Source organism: Homo sapiens, chromosome 16 (genome assembly GCF_000001405.40).
Source record: "Homo sapiens chromosome 16, GRCh38.p14 Primary Assembly".
Taxonomy (NCBI): Eukaryota; Metazoa; Chordata; class Mammalia; order Primates; family Hominidae; genus Homo; species Homo sapiens.
The window spans coordinates 49921248-49948803 of record NC_000016.10 but is presented as its reverse complement, the minus strand read 5'-3'; the positions used below and the strand labels follow the sequence as shown (position 1 = coordinate 49948803).

General features: G+C 45.8%; 1 pseudogene, besides 5 other annotated features; it reads right to left on the bottom strand.

Moving 5' to 3' along the window:
• Positions 13308-13808: an enhancer, noted in NCBI's record as "H3K4me1 hESC enhancer chr16:49968907-49969407 (GRCh37/hg19 assembly coordinates)". NCBI's record gives its function as "activates a minimal SCP1, AML or CMV promoter by ChIP-STARR-seq in primed H9 embryonic stem cells {active_cell/tissue: H9 hESC(primed)}" and the evidence as "EXISTENCE:reporter gene assay evidence [ECO:0000049][PMID:30033119]".
• On the bottom strand, positions 13457-13778 carry RPL34P29 (ribosomal protein L34 pseudogene 29; annotated as a pseudogene).
• Positions 19912-20412: an enhancer, noted in NCBI's record as "H3K4me1 hESC enhancer chr16:49962303-49962803 (GRCh37/hg19 assembly coordinates)". NCBI's record gives its function as "activates a minimal SCP1, AML or CMV promoter by ChIP-STARR-seq in primed H9 embryonic stem cells {active_cell/tissue: H9 hESC(primed)}" and the evidence as "EXISTENCE:reporter gene assay evidence [ECO:0000049][PMID:30033119]".
• Positions 24452-24624: a silencer, noted in NCBI's record as "fragment chr16:49958091-49958263 (GRCh37/hg19 assembly coordinates)". NCBI's record gives its function as "represses an EF-1alpha promoter that drives an FKBP-Casp9 reporter gene in an ReSE screen in K562 erythroleukemia cells {active_cell/tissue: K562}" and the evidence as "EXISTENCE:reporter gene assay evidence [ECO:0000049][PMID:32094911]".
• Positions 25607-25790: a silencer, noted in NCBI's record as "fragment chr16:49956925-49957108 (GRCh37/hg19 assembly coordinates)". NCBI's record gives its function as "represses an EF-1alpha promoter that drives an FKBP-Casp9 reporter gene in an ReSE screen in HepG2 liver carcinoma cells {active_cell/tissue: HepG2}" and the evidence as "EXISTENCE:reporter gene assay evidence [ECO:0000049][PMID:32094911]".
• Positions 26467-27198: an enhancer, noted in NCBI's record as "H3K4me1 hESC enhancer chr16:49955517-49956248 (GRCh37/hg19 assembly coordinates)". NCBI's record gives its function as "activates a minimal SCP1, AML or CMV promoter by ChIP-STARR-seq in primed H9 embryonic stem cells {active_cell/tissue: H9 hESC(primed)}" and the evidence as "EXISTENCE:reporter gene assay evidence [ECO:0000049][PMID:30033119]".

Below are 27556 nucleotides of genomic sequence, written 5' to 3'. Positions count from 1 at the left end.
ATGCATTATACATTTTGTTGAGACTAGCTTCCCTTGTTTAATAGAATGCTTTTGAGGTTCACCCATCTTGTCACATGAGCCTGTAGACCATTCCTTTTTGTTGTTGAGCAGGAGGTTATTGTATGTTTATCTTTTCTCCTGATGGTGGACTTTGGGGTTGTTTACACTTTTTGACTAATATAATTATGAACACTCTTGTACATGTCCTTTTGTGGACATACATTGTCATTTTGCTTGGTTAATACCTAGGAGTGGAATTGCTGAGTCGTAGGAGAGATGGATGCTTAGTGTAATGAGAGTCACCCAACTGGTTCTACCATTTTCGCTGCCACTGGCAATATCTGTGGATCCATATCCTCACCCACTTCTGTGTTGTCAGTGTTTGATTTTAGCCTTTGAGTGGGGATGAGACATTTGTCATGGTTGTCATTTGCTTTTCTCTGATGATTAATGATGCTGAACACCTTTTTCATTTTCATTGTTTTTCTGTTTAGGAAATGGCCTGGGGAAGACTTACAAAGATGCCTTTGTCAGTGTGTTGGTTTCCTAGGGCTGCTGTAATTGAGTACTACAAATTGGGTGGCTTAAAACAACAGAAATGTATCGCCTCACAGTTCTGGAGGCTGGGCAGTCCAAGGTCAAGGCGTAGGCCAGGCCATGCTCCATCTGAAACCCATGGCAGAGAATCCATCTGTGGCTTTTCCAGTTCCGGGTGTTGCCAGCAGTCCTTGGTATTCCTGGGCTTGTAGATGTGCCGCTCCCATCTCTGCCTCCATATCACATGGCCGTCCTCCTTGTGTGACCTCATGGCATCATTCTTCTGTGCATGTGTTCTTGTCCACATTTCCCTCTGCTTTTAAGGACATTCTTGGTTGGATTAGAGGCCCCATCCTACTCCAGTATATCCTCATCTTAACTAGTTACATCTGTAGTGTCCCTATTTCCAAATAAGGTCACATTTTGACGTAATAGGGATTAGGACTTCAACATATCTTTTTGGGGGACACAATTCAACCCATAGCAGTCAGTAATAAGCAAATAGATTCATCTGTCTTCTAATTTGGGGATTATGGAGGATTGGTAAGAATATATTATAGAGGCCAGGCATGGTGGCTCACACCAGTATTCCCCAAATGTTTAGAGGCTGAGACAGGAGGATCACTTGAGGCCAGCCTGGGCAACATGGTGAGACTCCACTTCTACAATAAATGAAAAAAAAAACAGTCAAGCATAGTGGCACATGCCTACAGTTCCAGCTACTTGGGAAGCTGAGGCACGAGGATTGCTTGAGCCCAGGAATTTGAGGCTGTAGGAAGCATGATTATGTCACTGAACTCCAGCCTAGGTGACAGAGCAAGATCCTGTCTCTACAAATATGTACATTTAGGCCAAGCACAGTGGCTCACCCCTGTAATCCCAGCACTTTGGGAGGCCGAGGTGGGCAGGTCATTTGAGGTCAGGAGTTCAAGACCAGCCTGACCAACATGGTGAAACCCTGTCTATACTAAAAATACAAAAAAAAATTACTCGGGCATGGTGGCACATGCCTGTATTCCAAGCTACTTGGGAGGCTGAGGCAGGAGAATCGCTTGAACCTGGGAGGTGGAGGTTGCAGTGAGCTGAGATCACACCTCTGTACTCCAGCCTGGGTGACAGAGCGAGACTCTGTCTCAAAAAAATGTATAAAGTAATAAAAATAAAAAAATATATTTATATATATTAATATATATATATATCATAGAATTTTAAAGATAAGGATGAGGAGCTTGGGATGGGTGCCTTTCTACAACTTTCAAAAGAAACGTCCTTTCCTTTGGCTCAAGGAATCTCCTGAGATTATGTGAACTGAGGTCTTTCCTTCACGTGTGAAGTCTTTCCATTGGCCTGAGAGCACTTCGGCTTGCTCTGTTGATGTTTCATTTCATGTCTTATCATTCTACAAAATGGGCGACGCGGCGGGAAGGAGTCCCTAGTCAGGGGTCACAAACCAGGTGATAGAGGGACAGGATGGTGAGAAACTCATTCTGGTGAAGTCCTTGAGTCCTGTCCTGAGGTCCTGTCTTCAGGCGCTGGTGTTTCCTGGGTGTTAGTCACTGAGCCCTTCTCCTGTCTTACAGAGACTTCCTCAGGGACTCTTGAGCCCTCCCTTGCACATAAATATTCAGAAACTTTCTAGGGGCTTTCAGAGTTGGATGAATCAGTAACATCTACAGGGCGAAAGACTTTATTTATTTATTTATTTTTTGAGACGAGTCTCACTCTGTCACCCAGGCAGGCTGGAGTGCAGTGGCGGGATCTTGGCTCACTGCAACCTCTGCCTCCCAGGTTCAAGCAATTCTCCTGCCTCAGCCTCCCAAGTAACTAGGATTACAGGTGGACTCTACCATGCCCAACTAATTTTTGTCTTTTTAGTAGAGACGGGGTTTCACCATGTTGGCCAGGCTGGTTTTGAACTCCTGACCTCAGGTGATCCTCCTCCCAAAGGAGGCCTCCCAAAGTGCTGGGATGAGCCACTGCACTCGGCTGAAAGACTTTTTTTTTTTTAATAGTCATCTAAATAATTTAGTAGAACAAGATCAGCACAGTAACTTGAGTTAAGGATTTGAAGACAGTTTCTGTGTGTGTGTATGTGTGTGTGTGTGTACATATATGTGTGTGTGTATATATATATTATTTTATTTTATTTATTTTTTGAGATGGAGTCTCGCTGTGTCACCCAGGCTGGAGTGCAATGGCATGATCTCGGCTCACTGCAATATCTGCCTCCTGGGTTCAAGCGATTCTCCTGCCTCAGCCTCCTGAGTAGCTGGGATTACAGGCGCCTGCCACTATGCCTGGCTAATTTTTGTATTTTTAGTAGAGATAGGGTTTCACCATGTTAGTCAGGCTGGTCTCGAACTCCTGACCTCAGGTGATCTGCGCACCTCGGCCTTCCAAAATGCTGGGATTACAGGTGTGAGCCACCACGCCTGGCTAGTTTGTATATTTTTAAAAGCACAGATTTGGCCGGGCGCGGTGGCTCACGCCTGTAATCCCAGCACTTTGGGAGGCCGAGGCGGGCGGATCACGAGGTCAGGAGATCGAGACCATCCCGGCTAAAACGGTGAAACCTCGTCTCTACTAAAAATACAAAAAATTAGCCGGGCGTAGTGGCGGGCGCCTGTAGTCCCAGCTACTTGGGAGGCTGAGGCAGGAGAATGGCGTGAACCCGGGAGGCGGAGCTTGCAGTGAGCCGAGATCCCGCCACTGCACTCCAGCCTGGGCGACAGAGCGAGACTCCGTCTCAAAAAAAAAAAAAAAAAAAAAAAGCACAGATTTCTGTGATGTTGGCTTGTTTCCTTGTTTTTTGAAAATTAGTATTTTAAAAAATAAATGATACATACACATGATACAAAATTCAAAAGAAACAAAAGGTAAACAGCAAAAAGTAGTTCTTCCACTTCTCTTTCGTAGCTTAACAGTTTGTGTCTCCTTCTAGAGATATTTATCCACAGGCAGGTGTATGTGAACTCATACATAAATGGTAACATATTATAAATGCTATTCTACCCCTTTGTTTTTTCCATTATATCTTGGAAATGATTGTATATCAGATATACTATTGCCTCTTTTTAATGATTGCAAATTACTCCCCAGTATTAGATGTGCGTAATTTACCTCATTTGGTCTTTTAATTTTTTTTTACATTTATTAATTTCTTTATATATATTTTTGCTTTGTATTACTTGATTTACCAAGGAAGCCAATTAAGTCTTTATTGATAGACATTTTAGGTCATTTGTAATCTTGCTGTTTAAGCAAAAGGGAGTTTTATTTTGATGTAAGTTGGTTTTGTTTTTCAGTTATAGAGCAACAAGGTTTAGAGCCAATTTCATCATTCCTGTTACTCAATAAGAAATAACACAATTGGGTTTCTGCTATTAGATGGGAATAAAATGAAAACTCATGGTGTGAATTTTACAAATAAAAGTATTTTGTAACTTGGCTAAACACTCATGCTTGTCTTCAAGCTATACATTAGAAGACGAGGCTAACATTTGGAAAGTAAGTCCAATGAGATGCTTTCTAGCCTAGAAAATTTGGAGTGTCATTATAGACACTGATTTGGATAAGAAAGAATTTACTGGATTTCTTTAGCCTACTACTTACATTTTCATTTTCTGCTTTAGCAGATTTGTTTCAAATCTCTTTCATCACAAAGCAGGCTTGAGCTGCTGCGTAAGCCTTGACAAGAACCTGGCCAGAACCTCTGTCCAGATCATTCAGAGTCCTTTGATATGCGGATGTTTTAGTTTCCTATTGCTGTGTAGCAGATGACCACAAGCTTAGCAGCCTAAAGCAACCCAAATTTATTATCTCAAGGTGTCCATGGGTCAGGAGTCTGGGTACAGATTAGCTGAGTCCTCAGTCTCACCAGACTGAAAATCAATATATCGGCAGGGCCTGTGATACTCCCTGGTTGTCAACAGAATTAATTTCCTGTAGCCAGATAACTGAGGTTCCTATTTTCCTGCTAGCTGTCAGCAGGAAACCCCACTCAACTCCTAGAGGTCGTCCTCAGGTCCCTTCCACGTGGCCCTGTTCTCTCCCTGTGGCTGTTTGCTTTCTCCCAGGTTAGCAGGAGTCTCTGATGCTTCACCTGTTAAAGAGCTTGCCTATGTCACACTCACCCATGCAGCATTTTTATACGTGTGTATGTGTGTGTGTGTAGATACACACATATATATACACATATATACACACACATATATATTTATACATTATATATACATATAACTTTATTATTATTTTTTGAGACAGTCTTGCTCTGTTGCCCAAGCTGGAGTGCAGTGGCATGATCTTGGCTTACTGTACCCTCGACCTCTCAGGCTCAAGCAATCCTCCCACCTCAGCCTCCTTAGTAGCTGGGACCACGGGTGTGTGCTGCCACGCTCACCTAATTTTTTGTATTTTTTTGTAGAGACAGGGTTTCTCCATGTCGCCCAAGCTGGTCTTGAACTCCCTAGCTCAAGCTATCTGCCTGCCTCAACCTCCCAAACTGCTGGGATTACTGGTGTAAGCCACCACACCTGGCCCTATTTTTAAAATTATACATATTTATAATGTACAACATGATGTTTTAAAATATGTATACATTGCAGAATGGCTAAATTGACCTAATTAACGTGTTATCTCACATACTTATTTCTTGTGGTGAGAACACTTAAAATCTACTCTCTTAATGATTCTCAAGAATACAATACATTATTAACTATAGTAACTGTGTTATATAATACATCTCTGAAATATATTGCTCCTAACTGAAATTTTGTGTCGTTGATCAATATCCACCCCTCATTCAAGCCCCTGGTAAGTGATATCCTTCTTTTGTGTGTGTTTTTTTTTTTTTGAGACGGAGTTTCACTCTTTTTGCCCAGGCTGGAGTGCAGTGGCGCAATCTTGGCTCATTGCAACCTCTGCCTCCCAGGTTCAAGCAATTCTGCCTCAGCCTCCCAAGTAGCTGGGATTACAGGCATGTGCCACCATGCCCAGCTAATTTTTTTGTAGTTTTAGAAGAGATGGGGTTTCACCGTGTTGGTCAGGTTGGTCTTGAACTCCTGACCTAGGTGATCCACCTACCTTGGCCTCTCAAAGTGCTGGGATTACAGACATGAGCCACTGTGCCCAGCCCTGGTAAGTGATATTCTATTCTCTGCTTCTATGCTAAGATTCTCCTATTATTCTACTCTTTACTTCTATGAGATCAACTTTTTTAGATTCCACATATGAGTGAGAAGATGTGCCATTTATCTTTCTGTGTCTGGCTTATTTCATTTAACATAATGTCCTCCAGGCTCATCCATGTTGCTATGAATGACAGGATTTCATTCTTTTTGATGGCAGAATAGTATTCCATTGTGTATATATACCACACAGGTATCCCTTTGATATAATGATTTCCTTTCTTTTGGATAAATGTCCAGCAGTAGGATTGCTGGATCTATGGTAGTTCCACTTTTAGTTTTTTGAGAAACCTCCATACTGTTTTCCACAATGCCTGTACTAATTTACATTCCCACCAGCAGTGTATGAGTTCCCTTTTCTCTACATCCCTCCAGTATTTGTTATTTTTTTGTCTTTTTGATATTAGCCATTCTAACTGGAATGAGATGATATCTCATTGTGGTTTTGATTTGCATTTCTCTGGTGATTAGTGATGTTGAACATTCTTTCATATACCTGTTGGCCATTTGCATGTCTTCTTTTGATAAATGATATGTGTTCAGGTCCTTTGCCCATTTTTTAAGTAGAAATGGAATCTCACTATGTTGCCCCGGCTGGTCTTGAACTCCTGGCCTCAAGTGATCCTCCCACCTTAGCCTCTCAAAGTGCTGGGATTGCAGGCATGAGCCACTGTGCCCAGCCTCCTTTGCCCATTTTTAAAATTGAGTTAGGTTGTTTCCTTGCTGTTGAGCTTATTGAGTTCCTCATGTCTTTGAATGCTAACTCCTTATCAAGTGTGTGGTTTGCAGGTATTTTCTCCCATTCTGTGGGTTGTGTCTTCACTCTGTTGATTGGTTCCTTTGCTGTATAGAAGCTTTTTAGTTTGATGTAATCTCATTTGTTCCTTCACTTTTGTTGCCTGTGCTTTTGGGATCATATAAAAAAAATCATTGCCCAAGTATCGTGGAGTTTTTCCTTTATGTTTTCTTCTAGTAGTTTTATAGTGTTGGATCTTACATTTAAGTCCTTGATCCATTTTTCAATTGAATCATCTCTCTTTTGACAAACTGAAAGTGTATCTCATCATACTAATTGACATCACGTACACTCAAAGAGAGGAAAGCCCATGAGATTTGGAGGGGATGCACATCCAAACCATATCAGCATCTCACAGAGTTGGCAGTTTTGTTTGCTATTGTGATGTAAAATAATGGTGAGTCTCACATTGAACTCAGAAGTAAGCCACACCTGGCCTATTTCTAGATTAATGAGTTTTCATTGGTGACAGGTCAAGAATTGACAGCAGGCACCTGGATTTCTCCTTTCAAAAGATTCCCCTTTAGAGTGGGAAGAGGCAGGAGCCAGCGTTGACCTTGTCAGGTCTTCCTGCTTGGGTGCTGTCACCTCACTTCTTTTTTTTTTTTTGAGATGGAGTCTGGCTCTGTCACCCGGGCTGGAGTGCAGTGGCGCAATCTCGGCTCACTGCAAGCTCCGCCTCCCGGGTTCACGCCATTCTCCTGCCTCAGCCTCCCCTCACTTCATTTTATAATGACAGCTTGTTTATGCTCTTCCCCACCAAAGTAGCAATTGCTTTTTTTTGTTTATTTCTTTTTTAGAGACAAGGTCTTACCCTGTCACCCAGGCTGGAGTGCAGTAGCATGATCATAGCTCACTGCAGCCTTGAACTCCTAGGCTCAAGCAATCCTCCCACCTCAGCTTCCTGAGTAGTTGGGACTATAGGCATGCACCACCATGCCTGACTAATTTTTAATTTTTTGCAGAGATGAGGGTCTCACTATGTTGCCCAGGCTGGCCTCAAACTCCTGGCCTCAAGCGTTCTGCCCACCTCAGCCTCTTGAATTGCTGGGATTAGAGGCGTGAGCCCCTACACCCAGCTAGCAATTACTTTTAGTTGGAGTTGAACTTGCTGAGCTTCACACTATCTTCAGCCACTACCTTGGATTGGAATGTTGGTGTGTGTAAGAAGAAAACAGAAACACTCCTTTTCCATACCCCTGCTACGCTCACCGTCGCGCCTTTGCCACACTCCGCTTTCTTGTAGTGCTTTCCATCTCCAGGGGCGGGAGCTCCTGGGGTCTGCTTGTCCTGTCTTCTTCTTTGGTGGAAGAAGTGGGCACAGGAACACTCTTTGTCCTGGAACGGCCCTGAATGATGCTTTTCACCCTCCCTTGTGGCTTGTCTCTGCAAGTAGTTTCTCCTGGCTCATGCCCCTGTCCCTTGACACAGTGGGTTCCCCAGGTGTGGAGTGTGAACCACTGGTGGTTATGTGAGATAATTTTAGAGGGCACACAGACACACATTTTTATTATTAGCTTGGTGCAGAACTAATTGCGGTTTTTGCCATTGAAAGTAATGGCAAAAACCACAATTACTTTTGTACCAGCCTCACTCAACAGCGAATATTTGCTAAGCACCTCCCCTGTGCTTGCTGTGGTTGCAGCCCCATTCATAGGTGTGGACATATGCCTTTTGTAATAGCTCTTTTTTTTTTTTTTTTTTTTTGAGACGAACTTTCACTCTGTCACCCAAGCTGGAGTGTAATGGCACGATCTTAGCTCACTGCAATCTCCATCTCCCAGGTTCAAGCAATTCTCCTGCCTCAGCCTCCCGATTAGCTGGGATTACAGGTGCCCACCACCACACCCGGCTAATTTTGTATTTTTAGTAGAGATAGGGTTTCACCATGTTGGTCAGGCTGGTCTCAAACTCCTGATCTCAGGTGATCCACTGGCCTTGGCCTCCCAAAGTGCTGGGATTACAGGCGTGAGCCACCGCACCCAGCTGTAATAGCTCTTATTTTGGAAAATTTCAGCATACAGAAAAATGCTAACACTACAATAAATTCCCATATAATTTTCACACACATTCACCTATTATTGACATTTTACCTCATTTGCCTTATGTCTCTGTCACTATTTTACATATATATAAAATAGACATATATATTAGATATATGTATGTAAAATATCTGAATTCTCTTTTGCTTTTTCAGCCACTTGAGAGTAAGTTGCAGTAAGTGTCCTTCATGCCTAGATACTTCAGAGGCATTTACTTAAGAAAAAGGGTATTATTCTATTAACCATAGTGTGATGATCAAAATTAGGAGATTTAATGTCGATATGGTGCTATTATCTATGTATGTGTATTTCACCAATTCTCCCAGTAGCATCCTTTAAAAGCAACCTTTTCCCTACTCCAGGATCCAGTTCAGGGTTGCATAATATATTCAATTATTATGTCTCTTTGGGTTCTTTTACTTTTTTTAAAATTATTATCTTTTTTTTTTTTAGAGATGGAGTCTCACTCTGTTGCCCAGGCTGGAGTACAGTAGTGCAATGATAGCTCACTGCAGCCTTGATCGCCTGGGCACAGGCCATGCTCTTGCCTCAGCCTCTTAAGTAGCTAGGACTACAGGTGAATGCCGCCATGCCTGGCCCATTTTTGTATTTTTTGTAGAGATGGGATCTCACTATGTTGTCCAGGCTGGTCTTAAACTCCTGGCCTCAAGTGATCCTCCTGCCTTGTCCTCCCATAGTGCTGGGATTATAGGCATGAGCCACCATGCATGGCCTTCCTTATTTTTAAGGAGTATAAGCCTATTGTTTTGCCGTTCGGTTTGTGTTCTGTATTTAGTTTTCCAATTACTTTTCTTTTTTTCTTTTCCTTTTTTTTTGCGACAGAGTTTCACTCCTGTTGCCCAGGCTGGAGTGCAATGGTGCCATCTTGGCTCACTGCACCCTCTGCTTCCCAGGTTCAAGTGATTCTCCTGCCTCAAACTCCTTAGTGGCTGGGATTACAGGTGCTCGCCACCACACCCAGCTAATTTTTTGTATTTTTAGTAGAGAAGGGGTTTCACTATGCTGGCCAGGCTGGTCTCGAACTCCTGACATCAGGTGAACCACCCATCTCAGCCTCCCAAAGTGCTGGGATTACAGGCATGAGCCACTGTGCCCGGCCCCCAATTACTTTTCTTTTATGACAAGTGACACCGGTTTTCCATCCATGGTCATGCCAAGTTTCCTTTTAAAATAGACTTATTTACATTTCAAAAGTGAGTCAACTTAAAGAAAAATAGGACATAAATAATAGTACAAGAGATGCAAGGATCTGGCGAAAATGGTGAATGCTATGTAGGAATGACCTAAATTTGGAAAATCTACTAAAATCTGCAGAACTGGCCTTGCAGGATCCAGACTGTCATCTCTTGGTCCCCGATGGTGGAGGAGGTCAGGCCAGGCCACAGTCCTGCTCAGGCCTTGGGTCTGTGAGCTGGGGATGCCCGTGCCAGCCCTAGTGGTGCCTCTGCTCCCACCACTGGCAACTGGGTGCCTTTTGGAGCAGGACTCATTCCTTTGTTTCCACCCATCCTCTGTTGCTCCTCTCACCTCCATCCTCCAATCTTTAAAGTCTTGAAGTCTTCTGATATGGTTTGACTTGAATTCCCACGTGTTGTGGGAGGGACTTGGTGGGAGGTAATTTAATGATGGAGGCAGGTCTTTCCTATGCTATTCTTGTGATAGTGAATAAGTCTCATGAGATCTGATAGATTTATAAAAGGGAGTTTCCCTGCACAAGCTCTCCTCTCTTTGCCTGCCGCCATCCATGTAAGGTGTGACTTGCTCCTCCTTGCCTTCCGCCATGATTGTGAGACTTCCCCAGCCATGTGGAACTGTAAGTCCATTAAACCTCTTTCTTTTGTAAATTGCCCAGTCTTAGGTATGTCTTTATCAGCAGCGTGAAAACGGACTAATACATCTTCCCTCTCCTTGAAACCTTTCTTTCTCACTGGGAGCAGTCTAGGCAACTCATCTATCATCTGCCCTCAATAGAATCCCGCCTCTTTCTCATGGGCTTTTAAAATGATGTATTCAGCCTCTTCTTTGGTGAGGCTCATGTCTTAGGTCTCCAACCAGGATCCAAGTTCCAGGAGGGCGGGGTCCCACTCTCTGTTCAGTCTCTGCAGCAGGGAGCTGCTGGCCTTGAACATGGAAGATGTCCAGGAACCACACTCCAGGCCCTTTCAGACTGCTACAAGCATCGTTTTTTATACAACTGACTCGGTGTCCCGGAAATGTTGGACATCTAATCCAGTTGCCCCTATGACTTCCCGGCCCCCAACACTTAAGCCTTCCATCGCCTATGGAAATGTTTTTCAAATTAGAGACACAGACCCCTGGGGGTCTATGAAATGTATCAAGGTGAGTGTGAGTTCTATAAGGATCTCTTAATTTCATGCTTTGGTTTTAATGATCACCTTCGAGACATTTTTAATAAAAGCTTATCCTGGATTGGCCAGGCATGGTGGCTCACGCCTGTAATCCCAGCACTTTGAAAGGCTGAGGTGGTGGGTGGATCACTTGAGGTCAGGAGTTTGAGACCAACCTGGCCAACATGGTGAAAACCTGTCTCTACCAAAATTACAAAAATTAGTCGGTCATGGTGGCACATGCCTGTAATCCCAGCTACTTGGGAGGCTGAGGCACAAGAATTGTTTGAACCTGGGAGGCATAGGTTGCAGTGAGCCAAGATCGCACTACTGCATTCCAGTCTGGGCAACAGAACAAGATTCCATCTCAAAAAAAAAAAAAAAAAAAAAAAGACAAAGCTTACCCTGGATGATCTAGATCACTACTTGATACTGACGCTGTTGTGCAATTTCAGCGTGTGCATTGCTGTTTGGTTTGCTTTGGGGCCAAGGGCACATCCAACATGGTAGGGTTCTAACTGTTCATGCAGTGTTTTTCCTCATACTTGGTCTGTGGATGCATTTGTGTGTGGGTGTATGTGTGTGTGTGTGTGTGTGTGTGTGTGTGTGCGCGCACACACAGCTTTGGGAAGCAGTGGTCCTTGGGCTAAAGCCACATTCCTAAGCCCAGCTTACAGGGACCTTTGCACTCAGCATCATGTCCGCCTCTCCAGCCTGGTCTTGTCCTATCCATGAGGGTCCCATGCTGCGGCCTCCTCCCTGCTCCCACTTAAAAAAATTGTAATCTTTTCCCCCTTAGTGCATTCCCCTTCCCATTCCAGATGCGGCGCATTCTCCCAGGGCTCCTTAGACTTCCCAGAGACGGACGTTTCCTCCCAAGTTTGCTTAGTTCCTGGAATGCCCTCAGTGACAGCATCTCTGTGATGCCATCAAGAGTCCACCTGCCCATCTCCCCAGCAGACTGTGAGCTCCCAGGGTACATGACTGTGCTCTCTGCCTTTTTGTGTTCCCAACACCCAGCACAGTGCCTGGACCCCAACAGGTGCCTGATACACACTTGTCACATGATTTTTATTTTATTGTTATTTTTAAATTTTTATTTGTTATTGTTTTTATTATTATTTTTTTGAGATGGAGTTTTGCTCTTGTTGCCCAGGCTGGAGTTCAATGGCGTGATCTCTGCTCACTGCAACCTCCACGTCCCAGGTTCAAGTATTCTCCCACCTCAGCCTCCCAAGTAGTTGGGATTACAGGCACGTGCCACCACGCCCAGCTAATTTTTTATTTTCAGTAGAGACAAGGTTTCACCATGTTGGTCTGACTGGTGTTGAACTCCTGACCTCAGGTGATCTCCTGCCTGGGCCTCCCAAAGTGCTAGGATTACAGGCATGAGCCACCGCGCCCCCACCTATTTTATTTTATGTTATTTTTTAGACAGATTCTCACTCTATTGTTGCCCAGGCTGAAGTGTGGTGATGCAATAATGGATCACTGCAGCCTTAACCTCTGGGATTCAAGTGATCCTCCCACCTCAGCCTCCCGAGTAGCTGGGACTGACTACAAGCATGCGCCACCATGCCCAGCTAATTTTTGCATTTTTTGTAGAGACAGGGTTTCACCATGTTGTCCAAGCTGGTCTTGAACTCCTGGGCTCAAGTGATCCACCCTCTTTGGCCTCCCAAAATGCTGGGATTACAGGCGTGACCCACCGTGCCCGAACTTTGCATGATTTTTCTAGGCCCAGAAGTCTGTGGTTGCACCAGACACCCTTTGAGCTCCCTCCCCATGATAGCCCTGACTCCCGTGTCCTCAGGAGCTGGGGGACTTGCTGCTGTGTGTGATTAGCTAACATTGCCTGACTTCTCTGCTCCAGACTGTCAGATCTGAGAGTAATTTTCTATGGGCAACTGTTTTAGAATTTTGTGTTTTAAATCACAACTGTCCATTAAGATTCTAAAGCAGCATTGCTGGCATGTTATTTTGCAGTTCTTGTTAAGATTTGCCTCACTCGAGTATAGCCTTGGAGGGTTCATGAAAATATACTGAACGCGTCACTTGTGGACGATGCTGGACACATTGAGGTTTTTCTTGGATTATTTTCCCAGTGGAGGCCACTCCTGTGTTCAGTTGGCACTTCACTTAACCTTTTTCACGTGACTGTGGTACTTATTCCACAGTATTTTTAAAGTCTTTTAATTTTTATTACCCCAAATAGCTTCACTTTTTCAATTTAACTTTCTCTCTGTGCTTGTGCCTTCAATACTTTTTTTTTTTTTTTTGAGACAGAGTCTCACTCTGTTGCCCAGGCTGGAGTGCAGTGGTGTGATCTCGGCTCACTGCAAACTCCGCTTCCTGGGTTCAAGTCTGAGACTACAGGCACCTGCCACCACACCTGGCTAATTATTGTATTTTTAATAGAGACAGGGTTTCGCCATGTTGGCCAGGCTGGTCTTGAACTCCTGACCTCAAGTGATCTACCTGCCTTGGCCTCCCAAAGTGCTGGGATTACAGGCATGAGCCACTGCGTCTGGTCTGTGCCTTCAATACTTTTACAAAGATTTTCTGCTCCCCAATAGGGAAAACATGCTGGCTGCTGTCATGAACACCTCTGGCACCCATGGACCCTCCATAGGCCTTGCTGGCAGGTTTTTGCTTCGGAGGAACTCGTAAGAACTTTGGGTCTCCCAGCAGGAATCCGTCGATGTCCGCCTGGGCGCACACCATGTGTAGATTCTGGTGCCCTCCCAGCCTTGTTGGTGTAGGGATGGATGATTCTGTTACCAGGGGCTTGGGACAGCCTTGTTTTGTTAGCGGCTGCATTGTGGGAAAGCCTACGACCCTGTGTCAAACACAGGGCCGTTCCCGGTGCCTCTAGACAGCGCCCCTGGAAGAGCTCCGCAGTATTTTTCACAGCCACTCCACAGAATCCCGCCAGCCTCGCTCCTCAGTTGTTGAGGGGAACCACCCCTGGGGCCTCTGTGGTCGACTCACTGTATGATGCTTGTGTTCCCTGGAGCCGCTGGGCAAATGAGTTGGCTTGAACTTGAACCCTCTTCTCTCTCCTGTGCTTGTTTGTGTATGATAAACTTTCCAAAGATGTTTGAAAAGTAAATGTTTGAATTGCGCATCCTTATTTGATCAATGTTTTGTACCTGTCAGTGCGTCGGACTGGAGCGGAGTTGCCTGGTCATCTGGACTGTGGCAGGAGGGACAGGGAAGGAACACGCCTTGGATGGCACCTAAGGGCTCTTTGTATCCTGACTGTTTCCCTCTGGCAGAGGCTGTCTTTTTTAGGTAGAAATTAATTTAATGTGGTTTTTTTTTCTAGTAGAACCTTGCATAGTCTTTCCTGAGAATCACAATGACAAGGACACCATAACCCTCAGGGATTCTAAGATTTTATACTTGAATAGGGTGATAGTGACAGTCATTTTATAAGAATAACATCTTTTTGCTATTGGAGGAGTAATATGCACTCAAGGCAGACAACTTGGAAGATTCAGAAATATCACAAGTGAAAAGGTACAGCCTCAACACCCCGAGATGGCTGCAGGTCCTCTTTCTTCTGTTTCCTTCCATGCTTTTCCTCCGGATAGACATGGCTTTATTTTTCAACTGTAGCTTACTGTCTGTTTCACTCATCAATAGAGCATAAACATCTCACCATGTCAATATTTATTCTTTTCCCATATGTAGATACCATATTTAATCAATCCCTTGTTGAACATCTTGTTTGACACCAGCGTTTCGTTGCTAGAGTTTTCCTGTGATAAGCATCTTTACTGATCCATCTTTGCTGACATCTGTTTAATAATTTCCTGAGGAAAAATTCTGAGAGATCAGAGTTTTTGAATCAAACAGAATGTACACTTTTCCTAAAAACCAAAATAAGAACAGATTTACTTAATCAGCGTCATTCATGTAGAAAATTAAAACTGAATCTGCAGTCCTACAATCTGGAAGCAATGTTAACAGCCAGGTGAGCCGCCTTTCAATTTCTCATGGATGGGGCTGTGGGGTACATGTTGGGAAGCAGTGGTTAAGAACACAGAACTGAGCTACATGCCTGGACTCTGGGCTCCGCTCCACCACTCACCAGTTACGTGACCCTGGCGAGTCACTTTAGTGCCCTTGGCTTCAGTTTCCTCCTCTGCAAAATGGGGACAATAAAAGTACCTACCTCATAAAATTGTAATAAAAATGAAATGGATTACCATATATGAAGAGCTCAGAGGCGGCCCTGGCACATAGCAAGTACCATGTAAGTACTTACTATTATTTTATATCCATTTTTTCACTTAACTCACTCTTTGCATATCAGTGAATATAGATCCAATTTTTCTCTAGTATCCTATAATAACAGCATTCCTTAATTTTTTAAACTGGTCTTGAGCCTCTTGCTAGTATCTCCCTGCAATACATTCTTAGAGCTGCGATGGATGGGCCCCCTTTTAATGGCCTTTAGATAGACATTTCTAAATCACATCTTCAGAAGGAGGACTTACTGTGCCTGTTTGGAAGTGAAACCACTGTTTTCCTATTACTGTGTCTAAGAGTGTTGTGCTTTGATGGGTGGCTTCATCCTATCACCTGGGCAGAAGTGAAATTGTGAAAACAATTGGGAGCCTAGCCTTTATGGTTAAACTCGAGTGACTGAGACTCCTACAGCTGTGAGGAGCTGCCACTTTGGCCCGGAGGCCAAAATGCACGTCAGCAACCAGGAATTCCAGAACTGTCTCTTACTGTTACCATCTGTGCCTCCCTTTTATAGGATAGAAAACACGGGGACTTTTGAGAAGGAAAATTATCTAACAACTGACAGCTAGTCAGGACCCACAGCAAAGAAGGAATTGTTTAGTTTATTGTTTTTGTTCCTAAGTTGCCCCATCCTTTAGAATGTTTTAACTGGAAAAATAATTCATGGAAAAACTTACTAACAGTTAACAAAAATTTAGAATGAAAAGTAAATCCCTCTCCTCCCCAAGACCTTGGTCTCCCAGAGGCAACAACTGTTAGGGGTTTTGTGTGTTGTAGAAATTCTGCTCCTATACAGCTGTGTCCTTACTGGTTTTCCAGGAGTAAGAGTATACTACAACATTGTTCAGTCTTTTGCTTCTTTCATATAACAGTGTAAAATGGCTTTCATTTTTCTTAACCTGTCTGCAGAATGTTTGGCGTTAACATCCGTCAGTGGTGAGTGAGCCTGTGACGAAATGATTGAACAGAATGCCTCTCGTCACATGTAGGGGCAATTATTTTCTCTCCAGCTGCCAAACCTCTCTAAAAGGTCTTTCTAAAAGGACCTCTCTAAAAGGTCCTACGAAAGTTAAATGAAACCGCTTCTTCTGCCCATCACCTAATGCAAACCGACCCCCTGCAGAACTTGTTGGAATGTGGCATTTCAAGGCCGAGTTTAGCAGCTTGACTGTGCAGCTGTGGATCCCTGAAGGGACATAGCCTCCCTTCTTGGGCCGCAGCTTCATTTTTAAAATGAGGAATTCAGTATCTAAGGGGAGTCTCACAAAGTCAAGACCTCTGTCTCGTCCTCCATCATGTCACCCACTTCTGGAACAGCATCCAGGAACGCAGAAGGCCACCATGAATTACGAGCTCCCTCCCAGTCCCGCATCCCATTCTTCTGTTTCCTCTTTTCTGCCCCACGCAGAGTCCTTCAGCAAGGAGACCTGGGCTCTGCCAGGACAGTGGTCCCTCACCGCATGGCGGTCACGGTCACCGACAGGACCAGGAAGAGGGACGGGACACCGGCCAGCAGGGCCCATGTACTGAGGAGGGGCTTCTAGAACCAGGCCCTATCCTTTCACAGCTGCAAACCAGCTGGTTTCTGTGTCCACCTCCATTGTAAAATGGCCCATTTCATTGCCAGGAGAGGTGACCATGCTGGTCATTTTCACCCTGCAACTGACAAACCTCAGTACAGAAGTCTCTTGTGAGAGCATGACAGCTGCTAGTTATACGTATAAACATGTAGGTGCTTACGAACATTATTTCATTTAATCCTCACAGTGACACTCTGGAGCGGGTACATCTTATGATCTCAGGTTAGGACACTTGGACAAGGCCACCCAGCTAACAAGGAGCAGAACTGAGCCTTGAGCCCAGGTCTGTGCGATGGCAAACCCCAACGTTTAACCCCCATGCCATGAGCAGGGGGACTTTGAAGGGGAGGGTTTACTTCTCATTTTGGCTTTGTCGATAAACCACACTGTGTGACCTGGGCAAACCCCTCTCCTCTGGGCCTCAGTTTTCCCATTTGAACAATTAGAAAGGATTCGTGTCATTTCTAAGACTTTCAGAGCTTTGCATGTTCCAATTCTGGGATATTTGAGCTGCCTTGAGGTCAAGAGACATGTGGCATCGTCAAAGGCTTAGGCAGGAGGATGGCTTGGGGCCGGAAGTTTGAGACCAGCCTGGGCTAACACAGTGAGACCCTATCTCTTAAAAAAAACAATTAGCTGAGCGTGGTGGCATTCAGCTGTAGTCCCAGCTACTTGGGAGGCTCAGGTGAGAGGATTGCTTGAGCCCAGGACTCCATCATGGATGGAGACCCTGTCTCAAAAAAATAAAGACAATGGAGGGGGACAGCCACTACTGGAACCTGGGAGCTGCTCCCTCTTGCCCACCCAGACCTCACGTGTCTGCTCCTACATTGCACCACGTAGGAATGGCAGCTGGGCAGTGTGTTCATGCCCAGGGCATGGAGCAGACAAACAGAGGAGCACAGATGTTGCTGGGCTTGCGGCTTGTCCTCTGAGGGAGAGAGGCAGTTACACAGACCCACGGGCACCTGCTGATGGGCACAGAGCAGTGAGAACCCCCCTGCTGCCTGCCACAGGGCCGAGGAACCAGCAGGCACCCCCCAGCAGGGCTTTCCTTTCAGAATGGACAGAGAAGCCGGCAGACCCAGCCCTGCCCTGATTCATGTGAGCCGTTCTGATGCTTCTGAATCACATTTCCACCTGGTGTCCTCTCCTTAGTGAGTACCATTGCTTTCAGAATTTCCCTAGAAATAAATGTCCTCACACGTTAAGAATTTGTTTAAGGCTCTTGCTTCTTTGGAGAAAAGGATTCTGGATGCCTCCAAAACGTCGACCAAAAAGAGTTAGTAGAGAAGGAGAAAGACCCATTTTGGGGAGCTGCAGTTTGTGATTGTCAGCAGAGTGATTTGGTAAGTGGCTTCTGGGAGCTATTGCTTCCCGGCCCCACCCAGCCCACACACCTGCCTTTCAGGTCTCCCTTATTCTACCCGTGATGCAGCCATGGCTTCAGGGTCCCCTTGGAAGCAACCTCAGGCTGCTGGGGCCCTTCTCGCCCAGCCCCATGTGCCTGCTCTATGCTGCACCACCTACCCCGCTAGGCAGCTGGAAGTTGCGTTTTTTGCCTACCCCTCTGGGTAACTGCATTCCAGTGTGGCTGTTTCTGAACATGCAGAGGGCACACTGGGAGCATCATGCCATGATGCTTGGCAGGGGCTTCTCTCCCTGTTCTGTAGGGGAGGATCGATGGTCAGAGGCTTTCTGGAAAACAAACACTCTATCAGTACATCGTAGGAGCTTTACAAACATTGTGCTTCGACCCATGATTTCTTCTTTGGGGTCCACCTCTTAAGGAAATGAAGGATTTGAACTGTGGACAGAAATGCTTCTGACAAATCTGTCATAAGACTTGAGGGTCAGAAACCCAATGCAAACAGAGGCAGGCATGGGAATGTATTAGCTAATGTGACCAAGAAATATTAAGGCGTATCTGGCCTTCAGCACAGCTGGACCAAGGGGCTCATGTGCTGCTGTTTGCTCTCCTGGTGTCAGAATGCCTGTCAGAGGCTTGGGGCCTTCCTCTTAACTGAAGGAGCCCCAATAGACAGGAGGAGAAACTCTTCACAAGGGCTCCACACTTGTCCTAGAACCAAAGCACTGGCTCTGATTGGGCCACTTGCTCATCCTGACCCATCGCTGTGTACAGAGGGATGGAATAAGCCAACTGGTAGACCTCAGCCATTCCCTCTCCTGGACCTGAGGAGGCAAGCCATTCCCACGTGGGCCACACTGTGAGGCAGGGATCCTGGAGGGTACTTGGAGTGCTCCTGTCAAAAGAAGAGTGAGACCTTTCGTGGTGGCTTACTCCTGTAATCCCAGTACTTTGGGAGGCTGAAACAGGAGGATGGCTTGAAGTCAGGAGCTGGAGACCAGCCTGGGCAACATAGTGAGACCCAGTCTCTACAAACAATTTTAAAAATGAGCCAGGCAGGGTGGCACATCTGTAGTCCCAGCTACTCAGGAGGCTGAGGCAGGAAGATCGCTTGAGACCATGAGGTCAAGGCTGCAGTCAGCTTTGGTTGCACCACTGAAGTCCACCCTGGGTGACAGAGTGAGACCATGGCTCTTTTAAGGAAAAAAGAAATAGAAGGGTGAATGCTAGACAGGCAAAAGTTGCTGAAGCCTATGATTTCCGCACAGCGTCATGCAAAAAGGTGAGAAGTGCAACCCACAAGCAGCTCTGGAAGAATGGCTTAAATTGCAGCTTATTCCTAAGGCGGAATATTATGCAGCCATTAAAACATACATTAGAATTAAATTTATGGGGAAAACCTCATGATCGAATTTATGCTAGAATGTGTTAAAAAATAGGTTACAAAGTACATATACAGTATAGGTTCAACTGTGTAAAGTATATTTATGCTTTGAAAAATGCTGAAAGAAAATATGCAAAAACTTTCATAGTAATTATGGCAACAGGCACGAATTTTATTCTGTAATCTTTTTTCTTTTCTTTTCTTTAAAACATTAAAGTACCCATTATATGAATGCCTAAGGAACAAACATTAATTTAAAGAATCCAACCTGCAGAATGATTTCTACTTGAGCAGCATGAGGCTAGGCTGCAGCCACGTGGGAACCAGAGTTGGGGAAGGGTGAAGACAGGCGGGGGTGTGGAGAGGGAGGGGAGAAAGCAGCTCTGCCAAGTCTACACATTTCAACCTTAAAGAAAGCTGCAAGCAGGTCTTGGCCCAACTGGAAGCAAATTGTGGGAGGCGTGGCTGGGAATGGGTTCCCTTAATTCCCCAAGGCTTAACTCATAAGCCCTCATCCACAGGTTTGTTTGTTCATTCAGTCAGGCACTCCTTCATGCAGTAGATGAGTGTCCCTGTGTGCCAGAGAATGTGGAAGGAAACAAGTCATGTCCACGTCCTCCAGAAGTTCACAGTGTAGTCTGAGGACACGCATGCACGTGATGCTATCGTTGGCTTTCCATGTGTTGTGGGCCTGGTTGGTGTCAGTCATTGGCAGGGGAGGCTTTGGGAGGAAGCCTGGACACCATGTGAACGCAGCAGCTGATTTTGAGAGAGGGACAGTGGGGTGATCCCTCGTGAGCTTGGCACGAGAGGGACCGGTGGGCAATTGGCCTGACTCTGTCTCCCAGGCCCCAAGCGAGGCACTGTGGTTACCAGGTTCTGGACAGAAACTGACATCTGGCGGATGGTCAGATAGTGTGGAGTGGGGATGTGGAGGGCCCAAGGGAAGAACTGAAGTGAGCACACGGGCAGAGGGGAGAGCAGGGGGTCCTGCAAGCAAGGCAGAGAGCAGCACAGCAGGTAGAAGGGAGATGGCCTCATGCCCAGGGACCCAGCTTTCCTAACACAGCCAACAGTCAGGCCCGAGCTCTGAGACCTGCGGAAGCTGCAGTATCTCTCCTAGAAAAGGGGAATGTATCCTACTCTGCTTGGGGGTTCTGACAGGGACAAGGGCTAATGAACTGAGGCACCTGGGCTGGAGTCAGGTAGACAGTAGAAGCACAGTTCCCAGGAGGAGGGCAGGAGAGAAACCTGTGGCCCACTCAGCTGGCACCTTGACCTCAGCCATACCAGAAGGTGGTCGGTGTGGCAGATTTTATTTTCTAAAGAGAGCCATGACTGTCTTCTGTCCATCATGTTCTCTTGTAATGTGACCTTGCCACTCTGCATGGCTTCTAAGCATAGGTCATATGCTCCCACCAGCTCCCCCGACTCCTCCTCCCTTCCCTCCCTCCCTCTCCAGGGATGCTCACCTTTGGAAACTGGCCACTATGCTTCAAGGAAGCCCAGGCCACATGAGGAGGTCATGTGTAGGTTTGTCCATGGGGAGGTCATGTGTAGACATGTGTATCGGGAGGTCACATGTAGATATGCGGGCTGACAGCCCCTACTGAGGTCCCAGTGGACCTAAGGCATCAAAAGTGAGTGAGGGAAACTTGCAGATGACTCCAGCCTCAGATGCCACCTGAGTGCAACCATGTATAAGACCCTGAGTGAGAACTGAGCTGAACCCAGTTAAGCTCCAGAACCATGACAGATAACAAAAATGACTGTTGTTGTTTTAAGCCACTAAATTTTGGGTGGTTTGTTGTGCTGCAGTAGATAATCAGAACAATTAGTTTTTGTTTTTGCAATAGACTTGTTTTTTTTTTTTTAACAGCAGTTTTAGGTGCACTGGAAAATTAAGCAGAAGGTACAGAGATTTCCCATGTATTTCCAGTTTGTACACATGCACAGCCTCCTTCATTATCAACATCCTCCACCAGACGGGTGCATTTTTTACCACTAATGAACCTCCACTGACACATCATTATCATCCAAAACCCATGGTTTACATTAGGGTTCACTCTTGGTGTTGTGCATTCTATGCGTTTGGACAAATACATAATGACATCTATGCACTATTCTGGTATCATACAGAGTAGTTTCACTGCCCTGAAAATCCTCTATGCTCTATTTATCCTGCCCTCCCCCCAACCCCTGGCAACCACTGATCATTTTACTGGCTCCATAATTTTGCCTTTTCCAGAATGTCATAGAGTTGGAATCATACAGTATGTACATATCCTTTCAGCTTGGCTTCTTTCACTTAGTAATATGAATATAAGATTCCTTCACATCTTTTCATGGCTTGATAATTCTTTTTTTTTTTCTTTTTTCTTTTTTTTTTTTTTTGAGATGCAGTCTCACTCCAGGCTGGAGTGTAGTGGTGCCATTGCAGCTCATTGCATCCTTGACATCCTGGGCCCAAGCGATCCTCCTGCTTCAGCCTCCCAAGTAGCTGGGACCACAGGTGTGCATCACCACACTCGATTAGTTTATTTTTATATTTTGTAGAAATGAGGTCTCCCTATGTTGCCCAGACTGGTATCAAACTCCTGGCCTCAAGTGATCCTTCTGCCTCAGTCTCCCAAAGTGCTGGGATCACAGGTATGAGCCACTATGCCTGGCTTTATTTCTTTTTAGTTCTGAATAATATTCCATTTTCGGGTTGTGTCACAGTTGATTTATCCATTTACCTACTGAAGAACATCTTGATTGCTTCCAAGTTTTGGCAATTATGAATAAAGCTGCCATAAGCATATATGGGCAGGCTTTTGTGGGGACACAAATTTTCAATTCATTTGAGATAGATACCAAGGAGTGTTATTCCTGGATCATATGGTTAGAGTATGTTTCCTTTTATAAGAAACCGCCAGACTGCTTTCCAAAGCAGCCACGCCATTTTGCATTCCCACCAGCAATGAATGAGAGTCTCTGTTGTTGCACATCCTCACCAGCATTTGGTGCTGTCAGTGTTCTGGATTTCGGCCATTCTAATATGTGTGTAGTGGTATCTCATCGTTGTTTTAATTTGCATTTCCCTAATGACAGTGATATTGAGCATCTTTTCATGTGCTTATTTGCCCTTTGTATATCTTCTTCAGTGAGGTGTCTGTTGTGGCAAAAGATGGTCATTTGCCCATTTTTTAATCAGGTTGTCTGTTTTCTTATTGTTGAGGTTTTAGAGTTCTTTGTCTATTTTAGATAACAGTCCTTTATCACATATGTGTTTTGGAAATATTTTCTCCCAGTCTGTGGCTTGCCCTCCCATTATCTTGACAGTGTCTTTCAGAGAGCCAAAGCTTTTTAATTTTAATGAAATCCAGCTTATCAATTATGTCTTCCATGGATTATGCCTTTGATGTTGCATTTTAAAAGTCATTGCCAAACCCAAGGTCACCTAAATTTTCTCCTATGTTATCTTCTAGGATTTTATAGTTTTTCATTTTATGTTTAGATTTCTGATCCACTTTGAGTTAATTCTTGTGAAGGATGTAAGGTCTGTGTTGAGTTAATTCTTGTGAAGGGTGTAAGGTGTGTGTCTAGATTCACCTTTTTGCATGTGGATGTACAGTTTTTCCAGCACCATTTGTTGAAAAGACCATCTTTACTCCCTTGAATTGCCTTTGCTCCTTTGTCGAAGATCAATTGACTATATTTATGTGGGTCTATTTCTGGGCTCTCTATTCTGTTCCATTAATCTAGTTGTCTATTCTTTCATTAATACCTCAGTCTTCATTACTGTAGCTTTACCGTAAGTCTTGAATTCAGGTAGGGGCAGTCCTCTGACTGTGCTTTGGTATCAAGTTAGCTATTTTGGTCTTTTACCTTTTCATATAAACTTTAGAATCAGTTTATTGATATCCATAAAATAACTTGCTGGAGTTTTAACTGGGATTGCATTGAATCTATAGAATTTGGGAAGAACCGACATCTTGATACAATTAAGGCTTCTTATCCATAAACAAATAATACTACTCTCTATTATTTATTTCTTCTTTGATTTCTTTCATCAGAGTTTTTTAGTTCCTCTCATATAAATATTCTTGCATATTTTGTTAGATTTATGCCTAATTCATTCTTTTGGGTGCTAATCTAAATGGTATTGTGTTTTTAATTTCAAATTCTACTTGTTCATTGCTAGTATATAGGAAAGTGACTGACTTTTGTATAATAACCTTTATCCTGCAACCTTGCTATAATTGCTTAATTTCAAGAGGAATTTTTGTTCCATTCTTTTGGATTTTCTGCAGTCAGAACAGTTTTTTAAAACTTATACCCTACTTCTTTGCTACTAAGATCTCATCTACCTAGTGACAGATTTTGTTGGGGAATGGGTAGGAGCTGAGAGGAGAAAAAGAGCTATCCTGCTGTGAAAGGTGCTTAATAATTGTAAAACAGATACTAATTTAAGGAACTTTAAAATATCATGTGAGAAAATATGCATCATAGATCAGTCTTTTTCCTAGAAGCACAGCGCACCCTGAACTCCTTCTTAGAGTAGAAGATGCATCAGTGTTGGGGCTTCATGGGTCCAGGTTGCCAGGGGTGGGATGCCAGGAGCTAAGACCCAGGCTGTCCAGGGAGCTATGGGTGTCTGGGCAGCCCCAGATCTGCATGGGGCCAAAAGCCTGGTGTTCTGGGATTGGAGATTCAGTGGTGCAGCTCTTGTCCACCCTGGGGCCTTTTTCAAGCAGCCAGTGTCAGGGGTCTCAGTCCACAGGTTGCCAATTGGTGCTTGTACTTTTTTCTGTGTTTGAGCATAAAATATCAACTTCTAGGCATGAAAGAGCCAAACAAATGAACACACAACAACTCAAGGATAACAAAACACCACTTTTTGCAGTGGACATGTGTGGTTTCCTTCTGCAGGGATTTTCGGTTCACAGCCCTTTGGAACATCTCAACCCCAGGGACTGACTTCCCAAGCCCTGGCTACAGAGGCCGTCATGTGACTTGGGCCTGGCCAATCAGCATATTCCGTTGGCTTAGCCTTGGTGATTGGTTCAGGGATGGTCCCGTGATTCCAGCTAGTCCAATGAGAGCTCTCCTCAGGACTTCTGCCAGGACTTCCTGGGAACCCTGCAGATGTACCTTTTCTGGTGGGACTGCCAAACCCTTAGGACGTCATCCTCGAACTGGGATCGGGTAGGGAACAACCTAAGGGAGAGGATGGTGAACCTGCCTGAGAGTGAAGACACAGAGGACAGCGCAGGCAAGGAGCAGGTTCCTGATATGATTGTCTGAGGCCCTGGGTCCTGGTGCTGGAAGGCAGCCGCACCCTGGCATTTTCAGATACTAGAACCAGCGACCCCCTTTCATACTGAATCCTGTTTGACTGGGTGTTTATCACTTGACTGACATCCTCTAAGAATTGTGCAGTGGGCCGTGTGCAGCCAGCCACCTCCTTCCGGAAAGACAAACTCTCAACTCTGTCAGAAAATGGGCTGTGTCTGTGCCTCTCTCTCTTTCCTAGAACCTGAGGACCTCCCTCCTGACTCCCCACACCTGGGGCTGACCTGCACGCCCTCCGAGCCACATTACCTGCGCAGCCTTGCCTGGCGATCGTGCTGAGCAGCACCTACCTGGTACGCAGCTGCTTGAGCATCCGTCTGTCTTTCTGTCTTCTCTTCTGGAGAATATGAGTCCTGGGGAGCTGGAGCCCAATCGGTCCTCCCTCCCCTACAGGCCTGGGCACCCTACCTGGCACTTGCCCGGTGCTCTGTGAACTGAATGGGAAAAGGAAAGCAGACCAAGTCACCTGGAAAGCAGGCATGGGACGAGGAAAGATCAGTGGTCTTGGAATCCAAAAGTAAAGGGCGGCATCGTGGCACTGCAGCTCTCCGGCTATTTGCTTGGGCAAATCCTGGCTTTCATCTCCAGCTGCCTCGTCCATGGCAGAGAGATCGTGGGTCTAACCCTCGTTGTGTCACAGTGAAAGCATGCTCAGGGCCAGCATGTGGAGCTCTCACAGAGGTTGCTCCTATTCCCTGGGCTTTCGCCCAGAGCTGCGTGCTTTACACTTGCAATCCCCTCCAAACCTCCCTGCTACTGGATCCGGAAGGCTCCATTTTACAGATGAGCAAACTAGACGCAGTGAGGTTGAGTCAGTTGCTCAATGCCACACAGCTGGTCATCGAAGAAGGCTGCCCTTGAGCCCAGATCTGCTCACCCCAGAGCCCTGGGTCCTAGCTTTTAGGCTCTGGTCTCTCTGAGGCTGGAAGGGCTTCCCTGAGCAGTGGCCAAGCCAAGAGGTGGCTTAGGGGAACAGTTTTGTTGTGGTTGTAGAGTCAGGGTCTCCCTGTGTTACCCAGGCTGGTGTCAAGCTTCTGGGCAAGTGATCCTCCCACCTCGGCCTCTTAAAGTGCTGGGATTACAAGTGTGAGCCACCACACCTGGCTGGCCTAGGAAAACTTAAACCCATCTCACATCTCCCCCAGCCCCTCCAACCCCTGAGTGAAATTTATGGTTCAGGTAAAGACGGTGTGCCTGTTCTTCAGCTTCAAGACAAGCCCTCAGCCCCTGCTCCTAAGGCAGACTGCCAATCTCCTAGCCTGTCCAGCCTGCCCCTACTCAGTGAGCTGATGAGACAAGGAGTGGGGCTGGGATCCTCTGAGCCAGACCACACTTGAAGCTTCCGGAGAGCCAACACAGGGAGATTCTGTCCTGGGCTCCAGGCCTTTCTGAGACAAAGCCCCTCCATCTACATGTCTCAGTTGGTGCCTGGTCCTGGGCGGCATGCAAGGCCAGGCTGTTTCCAGTTTTGAGTGTTCCTATGTGGTAAAAATGAAGAAGCATCAACACAAATTTCCACCTTTGTAGTGTACTTACATAAATAGCTTTCACAGATTAATGCTTCTAACACACAAATGGTGTGATTTAACTATGCCAGGGTACTTAGCATATTATTTTTTAAATTGATTTATAGGTCACTGAAGGGAGGCTGGCCTGGCAATGGACCGCAAGATTCAAGGTGGAGAATGTCCCTCGTTTCCATCCTGTTTCTGTGACTTGTATATGACAGTATTTAGGGAAGGTGAAAGGCATACCTTTGTGGCTCCTGTCCTGATAAGGTGGGCAACCAATTGCCACAGTCAGGGTTGGGGAGGGGCACAGGGAGGTGGTGGAGCCCTGCACCTTCACCCCATTACCTGTGCTGGAGTTCCTGCCATCGGAGGCTTCCTGAGAATTTCCAGCCACCAGAAGGGGGCAGACGGTGACTTCTGAAGCTGGGACACAATGGGTCTGTGAGGAGGCAGGCAAGAGGGGGTGGAGGCGCCAGGCTGAAACCACCACCTCCACCACCTTGGGACAAGCTGGGCCCCCATCAGCTGGGCTTGGCTCTCCGGAAGCTTCAGGTGTGGGCTAGCTCAGAGGATCCCAGGCCCACTGCTTGTCTAGTCAGGTCACCAGATTGGGGAGGGCTTGACAGGCTAGGGGGCTGGCAGTCTGCCTTAGGAGCAGGGGCTGGGGCTGGTTTTGAAGCTGAAGAACAGGCACATTGTCTTTACCTGGACCATACATTTAACTAGGGGGTTGGAGGGGGCTGGTGGAGATTTGAGGTGGGTTTAAGTTTTCTGAAGCCAGCCAGGTGCAGTGGCTCACACCTGTAATCCCAGCACTTTGGGAGGCTGAGGTGGAAGGATCGCTTGAGCCCAGGAGTTTGAGACCAGCCTGGGCAACACAGGGAGACTCTGTCTCTACAACAACAAAAACGTTCCCCTAAGCCACCCCTTGGCTTGGCCACTGCTCAGGGAAGTCCTTCCAGCCTCAGAAACCCCCAGAGCTGCCGAATCGTCCCGCATGGAAGACAGACACAGATGCAAGTGTCTAAATGCCTTTGTGCATCCTGGTTCCAGGTGGGAGGCGCTGGGAGATGGGGGCCTCTCACTTAGAAACTGCCTCCCCTCCCAAACCTGGACACATGGCCCACTGCTACACACCACCACCACCAGTGTTGGCTGTCGCAGGACGCCGAGGGCCTGTGGTATGTC